At 36.8% G+C, this 27873-nt stretch overlaps 3 annotated features.

Annotated features, from left to right (window-relative positions):
• Positions 7368-7568: a silencer, noted in NCBI's record as "peak6080 fragment used in MPRA reporter construct". NCBI's record gives its function as "represses an SCP1 promoter by STARR-seq MPRAs in K562 erythroleukemia cells {active_cell/tissue: K562}" and the evidence as "EXISTENCE:reporter gene assay evidence [ECO:0000049][PMID:32103011]".
• Positions 10719-11262: an enhancer, noted in NCBI's record as "OCT4-NANOG-H3K27ac hESC enhancer chr6:123141927-123142470 (GRCh37/hg19 assembly coordinates)". NCBI's record gives its function as "activates a minimal SCP1, AML or CMV promoter by ChIP-STARR-seq in primed H9 embryonic stem cells {active_cell/tissue: H9 hESC(primed)}" and the evidence as "EXISTENCE:reporter gene assay evidence [ECO:0000049][PMID:30033119]".
• Positions 11263-11806: an enhancer, noted in NCBI's record as "OCT4-NANOG-H3K27ac hESC enhancer chr6:123142471-123143014 (GRCh37/hg19 assembly coordinates)". NCBI's record gives its function as "activates a minimal SCP1, AML or CMV promoter by ChIP-STARR-seq in primed H9 embryonic stem cells {active_cell/tissue: H9 hESC(primed)}" and the evidence as "EXISTENCE:reporter gene assay evidence [ECO:0000049][PMID:30033119]".

The following is a 27873-nucleotide window of genomic DNA, read 5'->3' on the forward strand; positions in this document are numbered from 1 at the left end:
AAAGAAACGTCCTAGATTACAGTGGTGGCATTTTCTTTGTCACAGTATTCCAGGATAGGATAAAAATGAGCCTTTTATTTAATGGGATTGTTTTTAGGACTCCAATGGCTCAAGCTGTTTTCTGCTTTCAGGTTAAGTAGGAGAATTAAAGTAGAAATGGAAGGGAGAGTGGGAGGGACTGGGGGATTTAAAGGAAGAGAAGATTGTATATCCCAACACTGGCATAGTGGAGAAGACTGTTAAAGAAAAAAAGCTCATCATGACACTTGTTAAAGATGTTAAGGCAGATGTTATCCAAGGTAGGCCATAGTGGTAGGTATAGGGACCACTGCAATGGAATCCTGCAGTGAGGGAGAGAGAGTGGACTCAGTTCTGACTTCAACAAGGCTGAGTGGGGATTTATAACCAAGGAGCAGAGTGGGGATCAGTGAATGGAAAATTACCAGGAGGAAAAACATCAAAGGTAAGAGGTTTCTGGCTATTACCAGGAGGAAAAACATCAAAGGTAAGACGTTTCTGGCTATACCAACTTGATAGGATTATTGCCGAAGGCAGGCCAGTGTGATAGGATATCAAGGGCGGTCAGATACCAAGGGTGGGGCATTCTCCCTAAGCCAACTTAACAGGATTCTTGCTCAAACTGGATCCTGCAAGAACAAAGGAAGCCCAATGTTGGCCTAGTCAAGCAGAGGAATTGGAGGAGCCTGACTAAAGTTTTGGTCAAAAGAGAGAGTCTTTGTCAAGACATAAAATGAGCAACCTTAGATTGAGGAGAATGGAACTCATCATCCTTGTGACTGGCTTGACTTCATGTATTAAAATGACTTTTTGATGTAACATTGCATAATAATGAAACCAAATTATCCTGATTTCCAGAGAGCTAATAAAATAAGTATTACAAAACAAAGATATCATATCTAGGAAACAATCATGATTCATTAGGTAAACTTTCTTTTAAAATTTTTACTTTTTAGTTTTCAACAAACAAATTAGTATGTTTTAAAAGTGAGAATGCTGAAACAAAGCAAATTTTGTTATAAAGTAGTCACATCATTTAGAAAACTTCATGCCTGCAATAATATTTAAAGTTGGTATTTTCAGATGACTAGATTGTGTATTCATACTTTTTTAATTTTTAATTTTCCTGAGTACATAGTAGGTGTATATATTTATGGGGTACATGAGATATTTTGATACAGGCATGCAATGCGTAATAATCACATGAAAAATGGGGTATCTATACTCTCAAGCATTTATCCTTTGTGTTACAAACAATCCAATTATACTATTTTAGTTAGTTAGAAATATACAATCTTCATCTATTCTTATACTTACGGACAGAGGTTCTAAGAAAACAAATTTGCAACATGTAGGAAAATTTAGAAACAGTGAAAAGCAGATATGGTTTTAGCTGACTTGGAAAATGAGTCCGAGCACTGGAAATGGTTGCAGCGTTATTGTGGAGAAAATTTCTGCATCTGTTGGGGGTTTGGGGCAGTGAATATTTAGGGTCTATCCTACTTTATTCTAGAGTTTTTACATTTTTAATTACACATTTTTGTATTCAGTTTACTTTCCTCTTGAAATATAAATGATTTTAAAATCTGAGTGACATTTAGGGACATTATCAACAGTTAAATTGATGTTTCCATTGTAAAACCAGAGCATGTTACAATTATTTATTGTGGTTTATTTCAGATTATGTTCAAATAAATTATGAATTTTATTATGTCCACAGTAAAACTTATCTTAATTTGCCTCTGTTTATTGGTGGTGCTTTGGCAAATTCATAAACTGTATCCTGTTTAGATATAGACACTGCTACTTTGAAGATGGTTTTGAATGAACATTAACCATATATTGGTAGGAAAAAAGGGGGCCGGGAGCGGTGGCTCACACTTGTAAGCCCAGCACTTTGGGAGGCTGAGGCGGGCAGATCACGAGGTCATGAGATCGAGACCATCCTGGCTAACACGGTGAACCCTCATCTCTACTAAAAACACAAAAAATCACCTGGGCGTGGTGGCGGGTGCCTGTAGTCCCAGCTACTTGGGAGGCTGAGGCAGGAGAATGGCATGAACCCAGGAGGCGGAGTTTGCAGTGAGCCAAGATCCTGCCACTGCACTCCAGCCTGGGCAACAGAGGGAGACTCCCTCTCAAAAAAAAAAAAAGTGGGGGGAGTTGGGGGAGTAAAAGTGAAGAGAATAGGAAAGAGTCTTTAAATGAGGCACTGTTTTAGGTGAGTAGGAAGATTTAAGGGCAAACTATACCTTATTTATACACTCTGTCACACAGAGAGAAATATCTATTTGAATAAATTTTTTCCATTCATAATGGCTATACTCTCCCATAGTATGAACGGATTGGTTAAATTGAGCAGGCACCCCCACTTCTTAATATGCAGTAGAGGCATCTGCTTAATAAACTCAGCTGCTCTTCTGGTGGTGCCTAGCCTAGGACACAACTTGAACTTGTGTACAGACCTCTAACAGAGCATTCGGTTTCTCTGTATTCTTGGAAGATGAGCTGAATCCTTGTCACATCTGTCTGGAGTGACACTTTTAGGCAATGAGCTTTATGCCAAAAGGAGAAAGCTGGAACTTCATTAGGCTAATAGTATAGGTAATTTGACTATTTCTGGACCTGCCTGCTGAATAAAATCTATGAGACTTGCTTTCATTGTTAAACTCATCAGATAACAAAATTATAAGGGAAGAAGGGAATAACCTTCACTTTCCTCTTGCTATTGGAGCTACCTATAAATTTCAAAATAACCAAATAAGTGCAAATAGCTACATTAGGTCAGTTCTACAATGTTGAGTTGAGGATTAAACTTGCTATTGCTTAGCAATTTCATGCTAGGGATATACTAAAGTGTAAGCTTTCAAAAATATGCAGTAATAATCATGTATAAAATACCTGGGTTAGCACTGTTTGTAATAACAATAATAACAACAACAAAACATATAAACCTACATCAACAGGAAAATGGATCAGTGAAGTATTGTTTATTCAGAACGTGGAATATTATACAGAAGCAAAAATGAACGAGAATAAATGTCACAAGCATAATAATGAGATAAAAACAAATTGCCAAAGAATAAATACAATAAAATATCATTTACACCAAACTTTAAAAATGCAAAAATAATATATATTGCTTAGAGATAGATTTAGACAACCAAAAGAAGTATGTTAGTAAAATAAATATCAAGTACAGGTTAGTTGGAAGATGATGAACAGCATAGTTAATTGGGAAGAGACACATAAGGAGATTTAAATGTGTAGTAGCTATATAGATGTCTGCTCTATTTTTCTTAAATATGTGTATTCAGTATTATATAATCATTTGTTTTAAGGGTAAACAGAGGTCCATCCTTTAAAAATGATTAATTTCACTCTTGTAGGGAGAACGATTTGTTGGGAAAGCTTGGAGACATTGGAGAGTTTAATGAAATCTAGCTGAGAGCAGATTGTAGTTGGGCTGAGGAGGTGGCAGTGGAGACAGATAGTTCGGTTTATGATATATTTTGGAATTAGAAGCAGTGGGATCTGTTGCTGACATAGATGTACAAAATGAAATACAGAGAGAAATAAAGTTTGACTGTTGGATTTTTTGCTGGAGCAACTGGTAGATAGTGGTATCATGAGGGAGTTAAGATTACTAGAAGGATTCCTGGGGAGAGTGTGAAGGGCAGAGTGAAAGACTGAGGGTCTTATTGTGTGTTACAGCTAACCCAGACTACCCAAGAATCTTTCTAGTTCTTTAAATGCTTTGCTATTCTAATTATCTCTAAGTGGGAGGCTTTCTTTTAAAAGTTTCTTTTAAAAAATAAATCACTATCTTATAAAAGAAGCCTAACCAACCCAGCCTCAGTCTACTATGATTGTTTCTACAATATTTAAAATTTGTGCCGAGCACGATGGCTCACACCTGTAATCCCAGCACTTTGGGAGGCCGAGGTGGGTGGATCACCTGAGGTCAGGAGTTTGAGACTAGCCTGGCCTACGTGGTGAAATCCTGTCTCTACTAAAAATACAAGAATTAGCTGGGCATGGTGGCGGGCATCTGTAATAACAGCTACTCAGGAGGCTGAGGCAGGAGAATTGCTTGAACCCGGGAGGAGGAGGCTGCAGTGAGCCGAGATTTTGCCACTCCACTCCAGCCTGGGTGACAAGAGAGAGACTCCCTCTCAAAAAAGCAGAAAAAAAAAATTGTTACAGATAAACATGACTTACTTTATAGAAGTGTACCGTCTGCCCCATCCCTTCTGGTACTGCCTAAACCACGCTAGACAAATGCTGAGGAGATAAAGGAAAGGACAGATAAGATGTTTGTGTTTTTAAAATTTGTTTTAATTTTAATTATTATGGATACATAACAGTTATAGAGTACATGTGATAGTGTAATGCAAGCAGACAATGTGTAATGATCAGATCAGGGTAACTGGGATACCCATCACCTTAAGCAGGTATTATTTCTTTGTGTTAGGAACATTCCACTTCTACTCTTTTAGTTATTCGGAAATACACAACAAACTATTATCAACTATAGTTGCCCTATTTTGCTACCAAACACTAGATCTCATTTCTTCTATCCAACTGTATTTTTGTACCCATAAACAAAATGGGTACAAAATTTTGTACCCTCTTCATTCTGTCCCACCCCACCAACTACACTTCCCAGCCTCTGGTAACCATCATTCTACTCCCCACCTCCACGAATTCCAATTTTTTTAGCTCTCACATATGAGTGGGAACATGCTGTATTTGTCTTTCTCTGCCTGACTTGTTTCACTTAACATAATGTCCTCCACTTTCATCTATGTTGTTGCGAATCACAAGGTTTCATATTTTTATGTTTGAATAATATTCCATTGTTTATATGTACCACGTTTTCTTTATCCATTCATCCACTGAGAAACAGTTTGATTTCTTATCTTGGCTACCGTGAATAGTGCTGTAATAAACATGGGAGTACAGATATCTCTTTGATGCATCAATTTGCTTTCTTTTGGGTAAATACCTAGCAGTGGGATTGCTGGATCATATGGTAGTTCTATTTGTAGGTTTTTTTTTTTTTTTTAGAAACCTCAATACCGTTCTCCATAGTGGCTGTACTAATTTACATTCCCATCAACAGTGTACAAGCGTTTTATATATATGAATGAAACCTCTCTCTGTGTGTGTGGGTGTGTGTATATATATATATATAGAGAGAGAGAGAGATAGCTAGATATGCAAAGGACCTGAAATTATACATATGTATTATATATTTATTATAAATGTAAATAGAATATATTATATATTTATATAAAATATGCATGTTATATAAATATATCATATATTATACAAATAGATATCATATATTATATATAAATAGATATCATATATTATATATTATATAAATATATCTTATATTACATATTATATAAATAGATATCATATATTATATATTATATAAATATATCTTATATTACATATTATATAAATAGATATCATATATTATATGATATAATTATTATATATTTATATAGAGCCTCTCTCTATAGATGTTTATATATATTTATATATTATATTGATATATATTTATATATTATATTGATATATACATATTTATATATCTATATATTATATTGATATATACATATTTATATATTATATATATTTTTATATTTATATCTAAATATTTATATATTTATATCTTTATATATTTATATATAATATTTATATATTAATATAATATATATTTATATATAAAAATATATATATAATATAATTTTATATAAATATTTATATATTATATTTATATATACATATTTATATATTATATAGAGGCTCTCTCTGTATAAATATATGTGTATATGTAGAGAGAAGTTTTATATATATAAATTATATATAGTGAAAGGTTTTATATATATAAACATATATATTTTATAGATATAACTCCCCTTTTTCTCTCTATATATATGTGTGTGTATATATTTATATATGGAACCTCTCTTTCTCTCTCTCTACATATATATAATGTATATTATATATTGATATATCTCTGCATATACAAATGTATTTATATATTTTTCTATATATAAAATATATTTATATATGGGGGAGTTTTATATATATAAAATATAATATATAAGGGGGTTTATATGTATTAATGCATGTATTATTTTATATTATACTAATAATATATAATTATATGTTATTAAATTTTATATATAGCGAGAAAGAGATGGGGTTCTCTTGAACTCCTGGACTCAAGTGATCCTCCCACCTCAGCCTGCTGAGTAGCTGGGACTACAGGTGCATACCACCACACCTTGCTAGAAATAGTTTTAATTAAATTATTGATGAGCTATCTAATTTTTTTGGTGGAAAATGGGTTCCCCTCTCATTTAGAGTCCCCTACTTCGATTAGTTCTCCTTGGAGCAATTATATCAATTAGCATAATGTGGGTAATCACTCCATGGAACACTGGACAAAATAATGAAAAGATAAGGATCATATCTATTCTATGACTTCGATTTTCTAAGATATACCTAAAGTTTCTATTATACAAAATTATCCTTATTAAAAGTCAGCATGATTCAGCATCCTTACTCATTAATAGAATGAATTTCTTTCTATAATATGTATTAGTTCTTTAATTTAAAAAATTTAAATCAGTATAAACTTTTTATCTTTTATTGTAAAACTCCAGATCCTTTGCATGCTGTTCTATATATAATGCATTTCCTTTTGAAAGTTTGGTGTCCCCAAACTTTTAAGAACGAATGATTCAGGAAGATGGCTGTGAATATCCCCTGACCATTGCCTTGTAGGCCTGGAGGACTCCTTTTCATACAAGACCAGGGAATGATATGGCTCTATTGGTTTCTGTAGCTTTTTTTTTCTTTTTCAATGCAGATTCCTTCATCTCCCATCACCACCCATATTCTAATTAATTGAAACAGATTGTCAGTTTCTAAACACAAATGCAATACCCATATCTTTACCTTTTCTCATATTATTCCTTTTCCCAGTCTAAACTACCTTATTTCTTCCTCTCCCAAACTACTATTTTTTTCTAGAAGACCCAACATAAAATTTACCTCTATTGTTAAGACTTATCTAACGTTTTTAGGTAGAATTAATCTTTTCTTCTCGAGGCCATCGTAGCACTTTACTTACAATCAGTAGTGCCACTGATCACACCTCCTCTTCTCTATCTTCCTCACCGCCATTAATTCTGAGCAAATAAGGGCTCTGCTTTACTCGATTTTGTATCCCTACTGTCTAACACAGTGCTTGACAAATAGGTAAGGAAGTGTATTAGTCTGCCTGGCACCACAATAAAATGCCATGGACTGGGTGGTTTAAACAAGACAAATTTCTCACAGTTCTGGACATGCCAAGATCTAGGTGCCAGCAGGGTCAGTTTCTGGTGGGGCCTCTCCTCTTGGATTGCAGACAGCTGTCTTCTCTTGGTGTCCCCACATAGCCTTTCCTCTGTGTGTTCTCAGAGAGAGAGCACGTAAGCCCAGAAGTGAGTGAGCTCTTGTCTTTTTCTCTTCTTATAAGGACACCAGCCCTATCAAATTAGGGGCCCGCTGTTATAGCCTCATTTAACCTTAATTACTTCTTTAAAGACCCTATCTGTAAATGGAGTCACATTGTGGGTCAGGGCCTCAGCATATGAATTTTCAAGGGGGCAAATTTCATTCTGTAACGGTAAACTTTATAATAAAATGTGTTGGATGAATGACATTATTCTTATTTTCAGAAATGTTTTCCTCAACTACTTGCAGATGTCTAAGTTCCTTTAGAAACAGATTAAACTTTGAGCAGCAGAGATGAATGGTTTAAGATAGAAATGTTTGGATGAGGCAATTTATTGAAAATCATTTACTCTAAAGTGTAATGAGTTGATTAGTCACCATCCTACGTGACTGAGTGCACCTCGTTCCAGTTCACACAGAGAGGATGGATTCTGGCATTGGAGGGTTGGGGAAAGTGAACTGTAACGAGAAAGATGGGGTAGTGAGTTATTAGAAAAGAAAATACAAAATATTATCTCATGTTCTGATAGTGATGAAGACTTAGTGACTAGGAGGTCATTTGGAGGTGATATAATAAAGCTATCATGGCCAGAACTTCTAGTTAGAGGCATATGAGACTGATCCCAGCTCCTCCAATTTTTTCAATTGCAGCCAAGTTATTTACCTATCTGTAATTCAATCTGTCTCATCAAATAAATGAGGATTATAATATCACCTAATTTACAACTTTGCAGTGGTGGTTAAATAAAAATATATAGTGCACATTCCAGTTTCTGGACATAGTTAGCATTATGAGAAGTTAGAAATATTAAGACTATTTTTAATATTGTTAGATGCTCAAAGGAGGTGTTAGTGTTACAGCACTGAGCATAATAGACAAAGATTCCTGCTCAGGTAGAGCTTGCTCTAGTGCAACATCTGTGCATGTGTGTGTCTGTGTGTCTGTGTGTCTGCTTGTGTACAGCTTCGAAATAACACTGATTGTCTTTGAACCACACCACACATAATAAAAATGATTTAATAATTAATGTCTTCTTACAGGGTCACCTTCAGTGTAATGGACTTCATTCCCAGAGCACTAATTAATAGGGGCTGTGATTGTCAAGGCACAAAACAAAAATGCTGGAAATACTGTCAACTGTATTACAAAGATGTCCACTTGAGTTTTAAATATTTGGGAAGAATGATGAAAAGTTACTAAAATAACTACTTTGTCTAAAACCATGTAATTATATAAACATGGAAATGATTATCATAACATAGAAGAAAAATCTATTTTCTAATTACTTTCATTGGCAGATTTTATTATTTCGCTGATCAGTGTTGAGGTACCTGTCTGATACTTACAAAATCCCTTTTTATGGATGTGCTTCAAAGCATTTATTCTCAGATCACTCAGACTGCAAATGGAATTGTGCTTGGAACAATGACTAGTGTTATGTGGAGCATTTTGCTATAGTGTTCATTTGTCTTCTTTCCTGTTAAGCCCTTAAATCGCTGCCAAGTGGTGTCAAAGAACCATAGCAACAATAGGAGTTAGTTTCTATTCACCTGAAAATTCATTAATCACAATTTCCCTTCAAATCTAGCTAGAATCTTTAGCTGAAATTTATGTAGTTTTTTATAATCTTTTGTTTGGGAAGGGTTGGTAGTAATTATCTTAGAATATATAAATATTAAATCCTTTGAATATAAAAAATGACTTTAAAAATTCCAAATACCATTTACTAATTATTTATATTTTAATCAATATGTTTGTTTCACCAGAAAGAACCAAAATCTTTCATTTGAAATCTTTGTGCTTTGGAAGCAAAACAAGATTACTTCAATAAGTGCACATTTAAGATTCCTATTTATATTCTTCAATGGGTGTCTGTAAGCCACAGATAATTAAATTGGTGGTTCCTTTGTTCAGAGGCTACAAATGTGTTTATTTAAGTTACTCATATGTTCAACAACTGTTTTTGTAAAAAGGAGGAGTGGGCTCATACATTTATTCATCAAGCATTTTCTTGGAGCCTGTTATGTGCAGGGCCTGAGCTAGGTAGGGAGTACAAAGATAATTAAAATATGAAACAAAAGGGAAGATAAATACATATGTAGACAAATAAAAAGAATATATAGTAGAGAAATTATGTTGATTGAGCTGGCACATTTTGCTCAGTTCTTTGTAGTTGTGGTGTTTTGTAGTTTTGATTTGCAGTTTTCTGCATTCAATTGAGGATTTTAATAAGTTTCTTTAATTTAGTTTTGGTTCTCATGATGAATTATTTTAGAAATATAGTACCCCTGTGAGTCTTAAGGCAGTGTTTTCTTTCCTTTTGTTGTTAGTTTTCTATAATATTCATGGCGGACCTTTTCTGTCAGCCAGCTTCAAATGATGTACGCCTATTTCTGTATTTTACCAAGAGAAACAAAAGAGTGTTTTCCATTTGTGAAGTAGAAATAGTAATAGTACTTCACATAGAGTGGTGTTGTGATGATTAGAGTTAATTGTTTAAAAGCGTAACAATGTCTGGCACATACTAAGTGCTACAAAATGTAGTTAAATAAAATAAATAAAATAAAATATACCTTATTCCCCATTCCAGTCATTGTCTACCTGGTGGTTGTGGTTGACCTAAATCAACTTACTCTTTCTTTTTGGTAGAAATGGTAGCCATCCCAAAATTCTTGGGTTTCAAGTAAAAGTGAAAGCAAACTTCAGCTGAATTATACCACATATACAGACATTTATTAACTAAATATTGATTAGTAAGAGAACATATAAAACAAAAATTGAAACAAATATTTTGTACAACTCATTTTATAGTTTCTAGATAGCTCCAGTTCTCCAGCCATGAAGTGCTTTGAGCACTAACCTGAATGAAAGATTTGCTAGAACCAAATGGCAAAATTCTAGAGACAAGACATTTCAGCTTTGTAGACTCTCAGATGCTCAGAATCAGGGTAGTGAGGCACATATCACAGGTGCAAAATTTAAGTAAGTGCCAAAAACTCAGTAATCAGGAGTAGTAATATTTCTAAAAATAATTCTTTTTTAAAAAAGAATTTATTTATTTAGAGACCGGGTTATGAGACTGGCTAATTTTTGTATTTTTGGTAGAGACAGGGTTTCACCATATTGCCAAGACTGGTCTCAAACTCCTGGCCTCAAGTGATCCACCTGCCTCAGCCTCCCAAAGTTCTGGGATTACAGGCATGAGCCACTGCACCCCACCAGGAGTGTATTTTAAGGCAGGATTGAAAAAAAAATACAAAACAAAAATCATAAAGAAAATATCAAAATGTTACATAATGGGAGGCTGTTGTTTGTTTTATGTCTCTGGGTTACTGTGCAACAAGAAAAGTTATATCCAAGTAACCAATGGTTCTGGGGCTGCCAGATGGCTTTATAGGGGTTGACAATGGCATGCAATCCCCTTGGGCAACACAGAGGATAATGTGGAGATTTATATATAGCCATGTTCTTTCATTGTAGAGATGTTATTAACTTTTTTCACTTAGTTCAAAATACGGGAGAATATTTTTGTAAATATATATAGGGGCACACTTCTTTTCTTTGCTGAACTCAGATTCCAGTATGGCTTGATGGGGCACTACTTAGATCCCTCAAGAGTTCACTTCTGGAGGTAGGAGGGGGTAGAGATTTAGTCCAAGGCATTATCCCTAAAGGCAAGACTTCTGGCCTTTCAGCGTTCTTCTACTTTGTCATGCATATTAGGAGGAGTGAGTGTCTCTGTAAAACAAACAAACAAACAACCCAAAAAACCCAAAACTACATACTTCAGGTATTTTAAATTTCATCATTGAGAGTTTCATCATGCTACATGCTAATCCACAGGCCATTATTTCCACCAATAAAAACCCATTTCTGAGATCCAATATGCTAATTAGCAAAGAGTAACAGTTCCTGATTAGAGCTCTCACTGACTGCCTATGGGCCCTGCATTCTTGATGGTAAATTATGTGACCACTCCCAAATGTGAAATTTGGATTACAGTGAAACTGACCCTAGATTTGAGTTGGTATCTTCTTTTGTCTCTACTGTTTGGTTGTCTGAGATGCTAAAACATCAGAATTACGGGAAAATCCGTAATTTCCCACATGGAGTAGTATTGGGCTCATCTTGACTCCATACATACATATAATTTTATTTAAGGAGACTACATCTCCCAGAGTTCTACAAACATTTCTCCTCTATAATTCTTGCCCAGTTCTTTTCTAGGAATTGTAGTCACTAATTTTACATAGAAAGAGATAGACTTACTGAGGATGCAGGGAGACCAACACATAGGTTTCTGCACTCTGTCTGGTGAGAGGTATATGCCTTGATTTCTGGCTGGGTATTATAAATGCCTTGTATTTCTGTGCCAGTGGCAGATAGAGGGGTAAAGACAAAGCATTTTCTTTTTCTTTCAAGGCAGCAGATTTTCATTGTTTGAGTGTATATTGTGCAGGGGTCAGTAATTGTCTCCCCACCCAACTGCCAGTTGTAATTCTTTTCAGATTCTGGCAACAATATGACTCTTAGTCCTGGTCAGTTAACTTATTCTTTCATCAAATGTTTATGGAATTTTTCCTACATACTAGGTGCTATTTTAGGCACTGGGAACACAGATAAAATAAGCCTGCCTTTATAAAGCTTAAATTCTTGTTTTGCCTCTTCATCTCATTCTGTGAATTCATGGATAGGAATAAGAAGAGCTGCTAGATAGATATCATTTGACACTGAAGCCCAACCTAAAACACTTTGGCATATCTAGTGAATTTCAAATATTAGGGTAATCAGTTTGATCTTTTCTCATATCCATAAATTACTCATTAAGGAAATTTAAATTGTTAAATAAAGTTGCACAGCATTTTATATATCTTCTACATGGACTTTTAACATAATTCATTTAGTATTTTAATGTTTCAGAAGCATTTCAGTCCATCCACCACATTATTTATGGGCAGAGTTGGCTCAGAAAGATTAAATTAACTGCTTAAGGGATATTCCTAATTAAGTAAAGAAGCTGAAACTCAAACCCAAGACTTCTGACTTCAAGTTCAGTGATAATTCCATTATACTAGTCAAATATGCAGTTTCCAGCACTTTCCATGTTGATGAATAATTCATTAAATTCACAGGGCAATAGATAATAAACACTTCTACTAAAACAATTTCAGTTTTTTTCTTTCTTTTTTTTTGAGATGGAGTCTCGCTCTGTTGCCCAGGCTGGAGTGCAGTGGCGCGATCTCGGCTCACAGCAAGCTCCGCCTCCTGGGTTCACGCCATTTCCCTGCCTCAGCCTCCCGAGTAGCTGGGACTACAGGCGCCCGCCACCATGCCCGGCAATTTTTTTTTTGTATTTTTAGTAGAGACGGGGTTTCACCGTGTTAGCCAGGATGGTCTTGATCTCTTGACCTCGTGATCCGCCCGCCTTGGCCCCCGAAAGTGCTGGGATTACCACGCCCGGCCAGTTGTTTTTTTCACAACTGAATTAAGCCATGGATTTTTTCCAAGATTGCCTGTCAGTAGTTCAAAATGCTGTGTGTATTCAGTAAGCCTCTTGCTTCTTTGACCTGTTAGAGTCTGCTTGTTCTGAGTGCTCAGTATCAAACACTCTTCTGATGCTACAGGCCTCCTTATGAGGACATACTCATTTCGTTGTTATCAGTGAGTTGAAAACACAACTGACACTAAGGCCACATGATGTTTCTTGGTCAGCTTCTATTGCATTAAAGTTCCCATTTTATATTTTGGTTTCCTTTTTCTTCTGATCAAGATATAATTTAGGAACCATACAAGAAAGAGCCCATCTTTTTTCCATTACCTCAGAGAAGGTAAAATATATCTTTTCAAGTTTTAGATTTTTTTCAATCTTGATTTTCATATATTAAATGCATAATGACTCTCAAGTATGTTGCTAGAAAGCTTTATCTTCTAACAGCCCATTACATATTTAATGAGGCTCAGTCAGTTGCACATTTAACATGGTCTAGTAAGCATCCATTTTAAGGAAGGCGCACAGTTAGTTCCTACAGGCTCGATTGCTCCAGTTTATGGAATAGTTTTCAAGTTTCTGCATTGGTACTAGATTATCAAGGTCCCCAGAGCATCTGATATTAAAAGATGCCTTGGACACCCATCCACCAATCCCTTCGTTAAGAAAAGAAAAAAAAAATCCTACAATTGCATGTCAAGAACAATAATTATATTAGGAAAAACACACTGATACATGGTTTATATCATGCCCCAGAACCTTCTCTGAATAGAAGAAATTTGAATAATAACTGCTGCACACACACACACACACACACATATACTTAGACACACATTAAGGTACTCTTACAAGAGGAAAGGCTTTTCACTCAAAGATACATGAATGGGAAAGAAATATTTCTCTATTTCTCAAAAAGTCAATTAAATTTTATGTTTGATCAAATTGCCCAAGTATCTCTTAATACATATCTAAAGGCATAAAAGTGAGAAATGACACAACCCAAAACTCTTTTCTTAGTTTCTACTAATATAGTTTTTTCAAAAGATATTAAAATGATTTTTCAACCTACAGAGTAATAATTATTTCAAGCAAGTATCATCAATGTTTGCTAAAACTATAGAATGAAAATCTGAATAAGAACAGTATATTGTATTATCCCAAAGTCTCTTTCTACAGCTCACAAACCAATTACAAAAATTGAAACAGTGATTTTCCAGTAGAGAAACATGGCAGATGCCACCTTAACCAAGTATTCATAGTTAACATAGCTAATAATGGGACAAACAGCTGATCCTCCTGTTGTGATGCACGAATGATATACCATTCCTGCCTAAAATACGTAAAATGAACATACAGTTAAGGAAACATCAGACAAATTCACATCGAGGGACATTTTACAAAACAACTGGCCTGTAATCTTCATAAGGGTCAATGTCATGAAAGAAAAAGAAAGAAAGATGGAGGAATCATTTCGGGTCAAGAGAGACTAAAGAGACCTGACAAGTAAATGCAAAGCATGATCTTGGATTGACACAAAAAATTTCATAAAGGATGTTATCGGGATAATTGGTGAAAACTGAAAATCAGCTGTGTGTAGTATAATATTACATTAATGTTAAGTCTCCTGAGTTTGATAAAACTAGTGTATGAATACACAAATACATGTTTGCATATACATGCATATATATATATATATACAAATATATATGCATTAAAATAAAAAGTTGAAATGTAAAATATGAAAAAGTTAATTCAAGAAAAACATTGTACCTAAAAAAAAAAATAAAACAAAGCAAAGCAAAAGGGAACAAAAATTATTGAGACTACAATTGTTGTTATTCCTTCTGTCTGTGTCTTGGAAATAATGAAATAATTTAACCAAGTTATAAAGATGAGGAACAAAATTTGTGAGACTTGTTTTATTTACAGTCCTTTTGCTATGGCAAGCTCTCTGAAATACCTTTTTGTTTTTGTTTGAGTGTCATAAACTACTTCTTAATTGTTTTGGGTAGCTTATAAAATTTCATATAGAGTGCAGCTTAATTATGTTTTCTTGAAGCTTTTTTCTCTCTCTTGCTATATTCACCATTGAAGCAAACGTTTGTTGCTATAAAACAAGGAACCATTGGATTTTATACAGCCATGTCCCTGGTGCCTTTATGTAATCTACATTCACACTCTGCATATTTAGCATCGCTTGTAATGAGGCTTCCTGAACCATGGTAACCCTTGTAACTCAGTAAATAATGGAAATTAGATGGATCATTCTTTCTAGTGGCATGTTGTGAGGTAATCGGCTTTCATTACAGGCTTTCTTGCAGAGGTGATTGGGATTAGATGCTGTAAACACAGAGCAGAATATATTCGTTTTCCCAAAAAGCCAAGTTCAAGATTTGTATGAATCACTGTCGCTACTTTCCCACAGCCATTTTCAGCTTCTTCCTGAGCCTGTAAATGGACAACCTTGCTTAACATGTCTGCTTTCCATTTTCTTTTTCTTTTTTTTGAAACGGAGTTTCACTCTTGTTGCCCAGGCTGGAGTGCAATGGCATGATCTCAGCTCACTGCAACTTCTGCCTCTGGGTTCAAGCAATTCTCCTCCCTCAGCCTCCCGAGTAGCTGGGATTACAGGTGTGTGGCACCACACCCGGCTAATTTTGTATTTTTAGTAGAGATGGGGTTTCTCCATATTGGCCAGGCTGGTCTCGAACTCCCGACCTCAGGTGATCTGCCCGCCTCGGCCTCCCAAAGTGCTGGGATTACAGGCATGAGACACCGCGCCCTGCCTCCATTTTCAACATCTCTTTAAGGGATTCTGGTCCCTCTGTAGAAATCATCCGGAAGAAAATATTTCTTTCTTTCGTATATTAATTTTGCAATGAGTAGTCTCTATAACGGTAAGCCACATTTTCCTGCAGAAAAGGGACTGCTTCTCTTAGCTTACCTTGGAAGCTTAGAAGAGAAAAATATAAAGCTTTATTTTGTGTATGTGGTTGTGATGACCTACTGTCTTATGCAAAATCAATTAAATATATTCATTTATACTTTCAAAATTTTCAAAGTTACGAAATGGCAGGTTACAATGAAGGAGCTTACCCAGCACTTGTATAGAGCACAGCTGCCCCTTGATATCTGTGAACAACATGGGTTTGAACTTTATGGGTTTATTTTTTTATTTTATTTATTTATTTATTTTGAGATGGAGTTCCGCTCTTGTTGCCCAGGCTGGAGTGCAGTGGCGCGATCTCGGCTCACTGCAACCCCTGCCTCCCGGGTTCAAGCGATTCTCCTGCCTCAGCCTCCTGAGTAGCTGGGACTACCTGCTCCCGTCACCACACCTGGTTAATTTTTTTTGTATTTTTAGTATAGACAGGGTTTCACCATGTTGGCCAGGCTGGTCTTGAACTCCTGATCTCAGGTGATCCACCAGCCTTGGCTTCCCAAAGTGCTGGGATTACAGGTGTGAGCTACCATGTCCGGACATATAGGTCCGTGTATACACAGGTTTTCTTCTGCCTCTGCCACTCCCAAGACAGCAAGACCATCCCTCCTCGGGCTACTCAGCATGAAGATGATGAGGATGAAGATGACAATCCATTTGCACTTAATGAATAGTAAATATGTTTTCCTTATAATTTTCTTAATAGCATTTTATTTTCTCTAACTTACTTTATTGTAAAAATAGAACATATACTACATATAACATACAAAATATGTGATAATCAACTGTTTATGTTATCAGTAAGGCTTCCAGTCAACACTAAGCTATTAGTACGTAAGTTTTGGGGGAGTCAAAAGCTATACACAGATTTTCAACTGTCCGGGGATCGGTGACCTCTGTGTTGTTTGAGTCAACTGTATTTTCATAATATCAGTGACCTGGGATTGTCATCAGTTTCTGGTGCTTCTTCCTGCTATTAAGTCATCATTAAGTGAAACGTGCTTTTCAGTATCAGGGGATTTTGTTGTAAGGCACACTTTGTCCTACTGTGTCTCTTTTACTATTAAAGTTACTACAAGCATGTTTCTCTTTGACTGTATTTCTCTTTGAAGCATTTTGAATTGATAATTAAATAATGTAGTCCTCCCTTATCCATGGGGATAAGTTCCAAGACCCTCGAGTGGATACCTGAAACCACAGATACCGAACCCTATATATATTATGTTTTTCCTAAGTGAGCATATCTATGATAAAGTTTAATTTATAAATTAGAAACAGTAAGAGACTAACAACTTCTCTTTGACATATGTTTGGGTTTCTTTTGGTATATCCAAGTTGTCAGCATCACTACTCTTGCACTTTATTAATTAAAATAAGGGTTACTTGAACACAGCACTGCCATAGCAAGACAATCAATCTGATAACCAAGATGGCTATTGAGTGACTAATGGATGAATAGTGCATATCGTGTGAATCTGCTGGACAAAGGGATAATCTACCTCCCAGGCAGGACGGCATGAGATTTCTTCACTTTACTCAGAATGGTGCATAATTTAAAACTTACGAATTATTTATTTTTGGAATTTTGCATTTAATATTTTTGAACTGCAGTTGGGGAATTGAAATCACAGAAAGCAAAACTGCAGATAAGTGGGGGCTGCTATAGTGGTTTGCACTATTATATTTGGAAGAGGAAAGGTCTAAACATTTGGCTTTTGTTGCAAATGAAGAAATTTTTTTGGGTAGGAGTAATCACCTAAAAACCTTAATAAGTTGTGATCTTGCTCGAAAACCCAAGAAGTGTTTCTTTTTTTGTTTTTGTTTTGCATATGTAGCATTATTTGTGTTTGTTTGCCTGATTATAGATGAAAGTGCTTGATGAAATTCCCAATATTTATTCTATCTCTAGGATAATGTGAACATAGCAATTAAAGCTTATAAACAGTGGAGTTTCATGCCCAGATAATTATGGCAAGAATTTTTCAGGTGCACGCTTTCTAAAATTTATATGCTTAAGGAAGCACTTATGATTGAAAGCACGAGGACGATTCTTTTTCACTGCCCCATTCATAACCATTTTTTTCTCCCATTTTACATAGAAAGGCTTTCTGCTTATCTATTTAGGATCTTTATATGATTGATGATCTCACCATGTAGAAATTTCTCAGATTCAAAATAAAGGGACACTAGAAATATTACAGTGTTGAGAAGGTGAATACTCTAATGACTGTTAGGCAAATCCTTTTGAAAGCCAGGTGACTTCTAATTCTTTGCTATCAATATATAGAGATAGATTATTTAAAATAATTTGGATGATTGATCACTACAGGAGTTTGCAGTTAACTTGGAAACAATTCAAATAATGGATTGGCTGCATGCTCATGCCTATATCCCAACATTTTGGAGAGGCTGAGGCAGGCAGATTGCTTGAGCCCAGGAGTTTAAGACCAGCCGGTGCAATATGAGGAGACCTTATCTCTACAGATAATTTAAAAATTAGCCAGATGTGGTGGCACGTGCCTGTAGTCCCAGCTACTCAGGAGGCTGAGGTGGGAGGATTACCTGAGCTAGGGTGACAGAGCAGGACGCTGTCTCAAAAAACAAGAAAAAGAAAGAATAGATGGATATTTCAATACTAATATTACGTTCGCCCCAACTATTATTTATGTAAATGTTTCTCAGTACATATGTCCACGAAAAAAAATTTTTAAGGGAGAAAATAAATTCTCACATCTGTCTTATTCTAGCAATATGACATATCTACAATACGTAAACTAATTGGAAAGAAAAAAATCCCACAGTACCATCAATACCCTTAACAGATGCCATGGTAAACTATGTTATTGGCCTCGATTCTTTACTTTTTCCATTCTTTGCCTTGAAGCTTTGCAGTTCTCCTCACAAAAGTAGCAGATTATGTTTCTGAGTAGGAAAATCTCTTTTTATACTCTCATAACACTCTCAATACATCATTTCTGACACCAGATGTGTGGATTTTTTTCTACACAGACCAATTTTTGATACCAGCAGAGTGTTCTTTAATTTAATTAAATGTTGACACTGTCTACCTGGAGACAGCATTAGATCCACAGGTTAGGTCCCACTAGAAAGGCCCCTTGTCTGACGTCAATCGTTAAGTCCAGGTTGTCACTTCTGAGTAACCCACTGTAGAGATTCCCATTGTCCCTTCCTCGGGTTAGGTCATTTGCTAGAAGAGCTCACAGAACTCAAGAAAACAGTTTACTTGGTAGATTAGAATTTATTGTAGAAGGATGCAACTCTAGAATAGCCAGACGGAAGAGATGGATAGGGCAAAGTCAATGGGAAGGGGCACAGCTTCCACAGCCTCTCCAGGCTTGCCACCCTGTTGTACCTCAATGTGTTCACCAGCCTGAAAGCTCTCTAAACCGCATTCTTTTAGGTTTTTATGGAGGCTTCATTACATAGGTATAATTGATTAAGCCATCAGCCATTGATGATCAAGTGAATCTCTAGTCCTTTTTCCCTCCCTGGAGGAAGGTGTAGGAGGGTGAGGCTGAGATTTCTAGCCCTCTAATCACCTGGATGGTTCCCCTAGCAACCAGTCCCCACCCTTAGGGACTTTCCAAAAGTCACTTCATTAACATAAACTCAGGTGTGGTTGAAGGGGCTTGCTATGAATAACAAAAAATGGTCCTTTCACCTTTATCACTTGGAAAATTCCAAGGGTTTTAGAAGCCTGTGCCAGGAACTGGGATGAAGACTAAGTATATGCCTCTTATTATAAATTACCATATCACAATTTCCCAATCCCTCGCTTCTGGGTTTGACTTTGAGACTTGCTTTAGCTAATAGAATTGGCTGGAAGAGACAGTGTGCCAGTTCTGGGTATAGTCCTCAATAGACCTTACATGTTTCTGCTTTCTTTCTCCTGCATCTGCCAGAGCTGTGGCAAAGAAGTGACCAGGCTAGGCAGCTTGTGGAAAGAGAGGATGAGAGACAATGTGAAGTAGAGTTATCCCAGATGATCTGCCCCAGCCGAAACCAGCCAGAAGAGCGCTGACTCCCCTCTGCCCCACAGACACATAAATTAGAATAACTAGTAAACTGAATCTACTGAGTTTTGGATAGCAGCAATTGCTAACCCACATAGATATTTAATAGTTAACAATGTATTATTCTTGTAATTTTGATCACTTGCTTACTATTAATACTAAAAATAAGAAGAACATCCGTAAGACATATTTTAATACATGTCTTAGAGCATTATGGCCACAGACAACTAAAAAATTATTTTAGGTACCTATTTTTGTTGAAGAGAAGTATTAATGGGTGGTCACATTTGGGTAAAACAAAAATGTAATTCATTTGAATGAAAATGCAATAAGCATGTGAATACAAGAAATGAAAAAGAATGAAAAAAAAAGATGATTTTTTTTTTTTTTTTTGAGACAGAGTCTTGCTTTGTTGCCCAGGCTGGAGTGCAGTGGTGCGATCTCGGCTCACTGAAATTTCCATCTCCTGTGTTTTTTAAGTGATTCTCCTGGCTCAGCCTCCTGAGTAGCTTGGATTACAGGCGCTCACCACCATGCCCAGCTAATTTTTTTATTTTTAGTAGAGACGGGGTTTTGCCATGTTGGCCAGGCTGGTCTTGAACTCCTGACCTCAAGTGATCTGCCTGCCTCAGTCTCCCAAAGTGCTGGGATTACAAGCATAGGCCAACATGCCTGGCCTAGATGGTGTATTTTTAAGATCAGTAATGGTGGGTATCAATTCGCTATGGTGCTTAGGTTTCAATCAGAGATGCAAAACCATTAGGGAGGTCTCTATCTATCCATCTATCTATCTATCTATCAATTGATTAGTTGGTTAATCAATGTATCTATTTTTGTAAAAGAAAGGATTTGTTGCAAAGATTTGATTTTATGCCATTTTGGGATCTGGTTAAAAAGTCTCTGTAAGGTGGTAGCTTCTGCATCTGATGCTGAAACTTCAAGTCCACAAGGCAGACAGTCTGGAAGGGGAACTAAATGTAAAGTCAGAGTTAGAACAAGCTGGATCCCTTAAGCATGAGCTTAATCAAGAACAGACTGAGATCCACATTAGTTCTCACTGCCCCCAACCATAATGATGTGGAGATGCTGCAGGAGAGGCTGGTGCTCTTCATCAAAGAGCTATACACACATTCGTTCCAGGAATTAGAGAACCTGAAGGAAGATCCAGGGACAGGTAGAGCAGTTGCAGATCAGGCAGCTGATCCATGCCAACAAGGTGAGCAGGCAGAGAAGCAACAAAATATATGAGCTACAAAGTGGCCACCACTTCTATCCTGCAATTTCCCACAAGGTTCTCTTGTGTGGCCACCCTTACCAGAAGCATACGGTAAGGAGAATTCTAGAAAAAATAGTTTGGCCTAATCTCATGGACACATTAGAGTGATAATACTTTTAAAGAGTTTTTCACAGATCTATTTTAAAATGCTGATGGGGTTCACAACATGTTACCCCCAAAATATGGCACCTTGGCATTTGAGAAAATGGTGGAAGCCAGAAGGTCACTCTCCCCTTCCTCTTGCCCTTCTCTGAAGCAAGTCATAAAATCTAGAAAGGTCAATCTCTGACCTTTTTCCACCTTTCTACCCTGAAGCAGGTCATAGGACCTTCGTTCCAGAAGGGCCCTGCCCATGCCCAGAAGAAAGAACTTCCTTATCTCTGAAGGCACAGGGACACAGAGAAGAATCTGAGCAAACAAGTCTCACTAGGTTTTCCCCAGGTGTTAACCATTAGATTATACCTACTTTGTCTGATCATACTTCTCAACCTTCCACTTCATCATAGCTAGCATAAGAAACACACAGTTTTACCTGTTTTATTAAGCCTTCACTTCAGAAGGCCCTAGATCATAGAAAAGTATAAAATAAATGTATATGTAATCTGTCTTTGTTATAGGAGCCTTTTAATTAAAAAAAAAAACCCTCAGGAGTTAAAACATCTTGAAAGGGACTGATAGAAAATCTTAAATATACTTTAATACAAAATGGCATAATACATTGTCTGACATAGAGATTAAGAACTCAACTTCTAGATTTAGACAGCTACAGTTTAAATCTCATCTTTACTACTAGTTAGTCATAGGAATTTGGCAGTTTTCTGGGCTTCAGTTTCCTTACCCATAAAATTGTTACCTGACAAAAAGTGAGGACTACCTAACTGTAAATTATATTATTAAATAAATGAGGTGAACTCCGCGCAAGTGTGAACTAATTTCTTACCTTTTTAAATTCTAAGTGTCATTCTAAAACCCTGTATATCTCACATTCAAATTATAGTAGGCTCAATGTTTTCATTATTCTGTTTACTCAGTTAGAAGGAAATTGACATTTGCGTGCTATCAACTTGGAGTTCAGCAGCTTCCATATATGGATCTACCAAAAGTGTCCTTTTGAAAAAGTATCACAAAAGGATGTGACTTGGTATTGTTGAAGTCTTTTAAGAAGAGGGAGGTGATGACAGAGGTAAATACAATGAAGAAATTAGTGAGCTCCTTGGTGAGTGCTGAATGGGTAGAAAGATGCATACGTAGGGATGGGGAGCAAGTGTAGAGACGAGGTTAATAGATAAGTAAAGAGAAAAGGCTCAGATCTCAGGGCCACATTAAGTCAGAGCTGGTATATTCTTGTACAATCCATTTGTGAGATCTCCAATGATGTCATTGTAATTAATTTATAAAGGATTAACTAACCGTCTGCCCAGGGAGAACAGATGTATTATAGTTAATCCATATTTTAGATATCATTTGATGATCTTTAGTCACTGTTACCATTTTTAAAGTGTTTCCAAACAAAAGTCATTTGTACTTTCAAGAAATGACTCTTCCTACTGCTTACATTAAAAAATAAATGACATGCAAACTATATGTAAACTATAAATTCACAAAAATTCTGCTTGGAAATAATTAATTGAGTTCACCAGAAGCCTAATATGCAACAGACATCACCAGTCCCTGGTGTTACCACACTGACACTGCATTTCCTTCTTATTTTTATATCTGTCTTTTTATTTGTTTATTTTGTAACTTACACTTTCCTCCCACTCCTGATGTTAAACATGCAGCTTCGCCCAAGTGTGAACTTCAGAGAGTATTCCATCAGTTACTCTCCCTCTGTGGTCTGCACAATGCCCCAACAGACTGGTATGAATGTTGAAAGCCTTTTCCTTCTCCGGGCAGCAGCCTCAGGGGCTTCTTTTCTTTCCTGCTTTAGGGATGCTTTGTCAGCCTGTGAATGTTGCCTCTTTGGTTGGCTTTGTGGAGACAGCTTGTGCTCAGATGTGATTTAGTTGTAAGCTGATTGCTGCTCCATATGCGAAAAGAAAGAGAGAGTGACCAGTTCTGAGGCAGCCAGTCAGTGTGCCCCAGACCATTACGTCAGTATCGCATGATGGTGAACCGCGCAGTGCCAAACAATCTCTTCTTGGTGCCCTTTCTTTCTTTTTTCTTTTCTTTTTTTTTTTGGTCTTTCAAAGAAAGGTAAGAAAGCCTGGGAAAAGAGCAAGAGATACAAGATACACTTGCCTTTCCTTGAGAATTTCTAAATGCTATTTATTATCAAATACATTTTTCTTTTAAATTGAGATTCTGTAATGGAGGAGGGGAGTAAAGAAGGATAGAATCTTGAGGAAGAAATAATTTATAGTATATTGAAACTCGGGTGCGGTATATCAGTTTTATCTGTTTTGGTACTTTATTGATTTCCCCCTGCCCCCAACTTGCTCCTAGGTTTTTGTAGTGGTTATATTAATTTTTATCTAGAAATATGTATGTACATTAACAGAGCAGTGGCAGAAAATAATACTTCTTTCAGTTGGGAGGAAGGTTAATCAACATAATTAGAATGTTTCTTCTGTTATCTTAATGTTCTGGTTATTCTCCCTCAGACTTCATTGCTTAAAAGAGACTATATGCTTTAAAACCATAGTAGGCTAGTACCCATATGTCTCATCAATATCACATATTGTTCAGGGGAGGCTTATTTGAAAGTAATGTGGCACATTGGTTTTACCAGTGTTGTTTCTGAGGACTGTACCATGGAGATTCCATATGCCTTGCGGAAGCAGTTTTAGTTGGTGTTGATAACCCATTTTCACAATAGGTTTCATGGCAATCAACAGTGTTTTGACCCTCAGTTTGAACATCTGATCAAGAAGGTTTTTAAAATAAGAGCCTCATTCTACTGAGGTCCACTAACTTCTCTGTAACATGTGAACCAAACCCTAAAAGCATTTCTTGCTGCTTATCTACAATAGAATTGCAGATTATTTGTTTGATCACATGGGGCTAACAATGGTACCCCTCCTGATACTACTTTTTTTTCACAAATTAAAGGAAAGAGGAATTTGTGTTAAAAATAAAGGAAGGAGGAATTTGTGTTAAAAATAATAAAGTATGTTTTCTTATTCTTCTGGGAAGAGAGATAACTTTCTGAGAAAATTTATTCTAGTTATGAAGCAGAGGCACCGAATCACACACTTCAAATCTTTGTCACTTTTAACAAAGCTGATTGATTATGTGAGTTTATGCCTGTCACCTTTCCTTTGGTAAAGGAAGCCTTAGCTTTGTCTTTAATGTCTGAAATGTTAACAAGAATATCTTTATGTATTATTTAATAAATTTTTTATTTGATAAGTAAAGTAGCATTGTCACTGTAAAAAAATTAGAAAATGCAGAAAACATGAAGGAGAAAAATCATTCCATTATTCTATTACATAAAGGGAACCTCTCTTATTATTAAGTGATTGATAGGCTGACAGGTTATTTGCTAAAAGGAAAGCATCCAACTATCCAAGTTAGTTCTGGCACTTTTCTTTTTTAGTACTTGTTGCAGCTGAAATGATCTAATCCAGGGGTGTTCAATCTTTTGGCTTCTCTGGGCCACCTTGGAAAAAGAAGAATTGTCTTGGGCCACACATCAAATACAGTAACACTAATGATAGCTGATAAGCTTAAAAAAATTGCAGAAGAGATCTCATAATGTTTTAACAAAGTTTATGAATTTGTGTTCAGCCACATTCAAAGCCATCCTGGGCTGCATGCAGCCCATGGGCCATGGGTTGGACAAGCTTGATCTAGTCCTTTGTGAAATTTTTATTTTTATTTTTGGCTATCTCTCCACAACAAATATATAAGCTCCATGAGGACAGGTGTTGTTTTCTATGTTGTTCACTGTCGTGTCCCCAATACTATTAAGAACAATGTCTGACACTAGAAGCCATTCAGTATTTGTTAAATATTGCATTAATGAACAAGCATGAGTTACCTTTCAAGAGTCCTTGCCCAGTTGAACCTATCCTGTCTAAGCAATTTTTTCTCTTGATACTTAAATTAGCATTACAGAAAGAATCTTTCCCTAAGCTTTACATAATGTTGCAAAATCAGAAGCTAAGACTGTTGAACACTATGGGTTTGCACGGTTAGGGCAGGTTCCTTTATGTTTGTTATTAAATGATTGTTCTATTACTGGACTTCTTGGGTTGTTCAAGCTACTTTTCTTTGGTTTTCACTGAACGGAATGGCATGGATGGATGGCCATGCCTTCCTTCAATTCCTTCTGGCCTCACTGGCCTTTTGAACCTGCCAAACTCTTGTGCAGGACCTTCGCATGAGCTGTTCCCGTGCCTAGAAATCTCTTCTATGCTCTTCAGGGGACAGTTCTTTCAACTCTGTACTTGGCTGTCAGTTTCCCAGAGCAGACCCCTGACATTGTAGAGGTGTCTGTGTACACACACTTATCACTGTCTGATATGATATCACAATTGCTTAACTATTCATACATATGACATTTGTATCTATTACCTCTGTTCCCCCATCTTGCACTAGAATGTTTTCATGAGAGCATGAAATGTTTTTTGTTTACTGCAGTATCCTATAGACAGACTAAAGTAGCCAAAGCTTTATCCAAGAAACCTTACATTTACATGATATGTGCTAAGTACTAGGAATTTTAAGATGACTATGAGACTATCCCGGAGCCTCTGCTATGAACAGGCATTGTGAGCATTGCCAAGGATACAACCTTGAAGGAAGTGAGGTGAGGCAGGGTGATGCAGATAGATAATTAGAAAAATACAAATCTATCTAGGTGGTGCAGATAGATAATTAGAAAAATACAAATCGTTAAATAATTACAGTTTTGATAAGTGCTGCAAAGGAAGTCCCAGGTACTAGAATATAGCTGGGATCTGGCTTGCATGACTTTGTTACAGTAGGTGGCTAGTCAGGCATGAATGGGGCAAGAGAGGGCTCCCCCATCACCCCATCAGAAAAGTCGGGTGACCATCAGGTGATGGTCAGACAGTTGTCACACTGCCTCTAAAATAATAATTGGTCGCAGCCAGTGCCAGGGAAAGGCAGTTTCCCTATAGACAGGAAAAAACTGAAACTGGTGATCAGCAGCTTCCTGATGAGATCTTAGGAGCTGGGCAAGTGGGCTCACACATGTGCACTAAGAGGCAAAACGGTGGAATTTAACTGGTATATGACCTTCCGCGCCCATTCCACGGCAAAAGGGAAGAATGCCTCAGGTGAGCATGCGTACAACTCCAGTAAACACACCGTGCATGCTCCCCTCCCAAGCACTAGCAGGCCACTGTGTATGTGGACAACCCACACCAAGAGAAGAATCAGGGGAGAAGGAACGCAAGACCCAGAATCACGCCAACATATAAAACCCCAAGTCGGGCCGGGTGCAGTGGCTCACGCCTGTAATCCAGGCACTTTGGCAGGCCGAGGCGGATGGATCACGAGGTTAGGAGTTCAAGACCTGCCTGGCCAACATGATGAAACCTTGTCTCTACTAAAAATACAAAAATTAGCCAGGCGTGGTGGCGGGCACCTGTAATCTCAGTTACTCAGGAGGCTGAGACAGATAATTGCTTGAACCCGGGAGGCGGAGGTTGCAGTGAGCCCAGATCGCACCACTGCACTCAAGCCTGGGTGACAGAGCAAGACTCTGTCACCAAAACAAAAACAAAAAACAAACAAAACAAAAACAAAAAAACAAAACCCAAGTCAAAAGGTCAAACCCTGCACTTGTCCTTCAAAGTCGCTTGCTTGGGCCTCTTCCAAATGTACTTTTTTTTTCTTTTGTTCCTGCTCCAAAGCTTTTTTTTTTCTTTCCTTTTCTTTCTTCCTTTCTTTCTTTTTTCTTTTTCTTTTCTTTTCTTTTCTTTTTTTTTTTAAGACAGGGTCTCACTTTGTCACCCAGGCTGGAGTGTAATAGCGTGATCTTGGCTCACTGCACCATCCACCTCCCAGGCTCAAGCAATCCTCCCACCTCAGCCTCCTAAGTAGTTTTTTAAAAAATTTTTTTGTAGAGATGAGGTTTCACTATGTTGCCCAGGCTGAGCTCAGATGATCCACCTGCCTCAGCCTCCCAAAGTGCTGAGATTACAGGCATAAGCCACTGAGCCGTGCCCCTGCTCTCAAATTTTTAAGTCAACTTTCACTCATGCTCTAAAACTTGCCTCAATCTGTTCTTCTGCATTATGCCCCTCAGTCGAATTTTTTCTTCTTTGAAGACAATAATTGAGGTGGCTGCAGACCCGTATGGACTCACTGCTTGTAACTCAGATACTCACCACTGCTAACAGTTTGATTCATTCCAGGTACCCTATCTAATATTGCTCAGAACATTAGACAGAAAGACAGAGGAGTTTACTTAGTGCTCTTCAGATGCACGGTGTGGATGCTTTCTTTCTCCATTTCTCTAGCAGCCCTGTACATTTCCAACCAGAGACACCCACACATACCTATAGAGTTAGGACAAAGACACAAGGCTCCTAGGTTGGTTTTTACTTTAAGTAAAATTCTGTGAAACAGGGATGTGAATTAAATATTCTGAAATAAGTCAAATATTTGGATTAAGAA

This window comes from Homo sapiens, chromosome 6, assembly GCF_000001405.40.
Source record: "Homo sapiens chromosome 6, GRCh38.p14 Primary Assembly".
NCBI classification, from domain to species: Eukaryota; Metazoa; Chordata; class Mammalia; order Primates; family Hominidae; genus Homo; species Homo sapiens.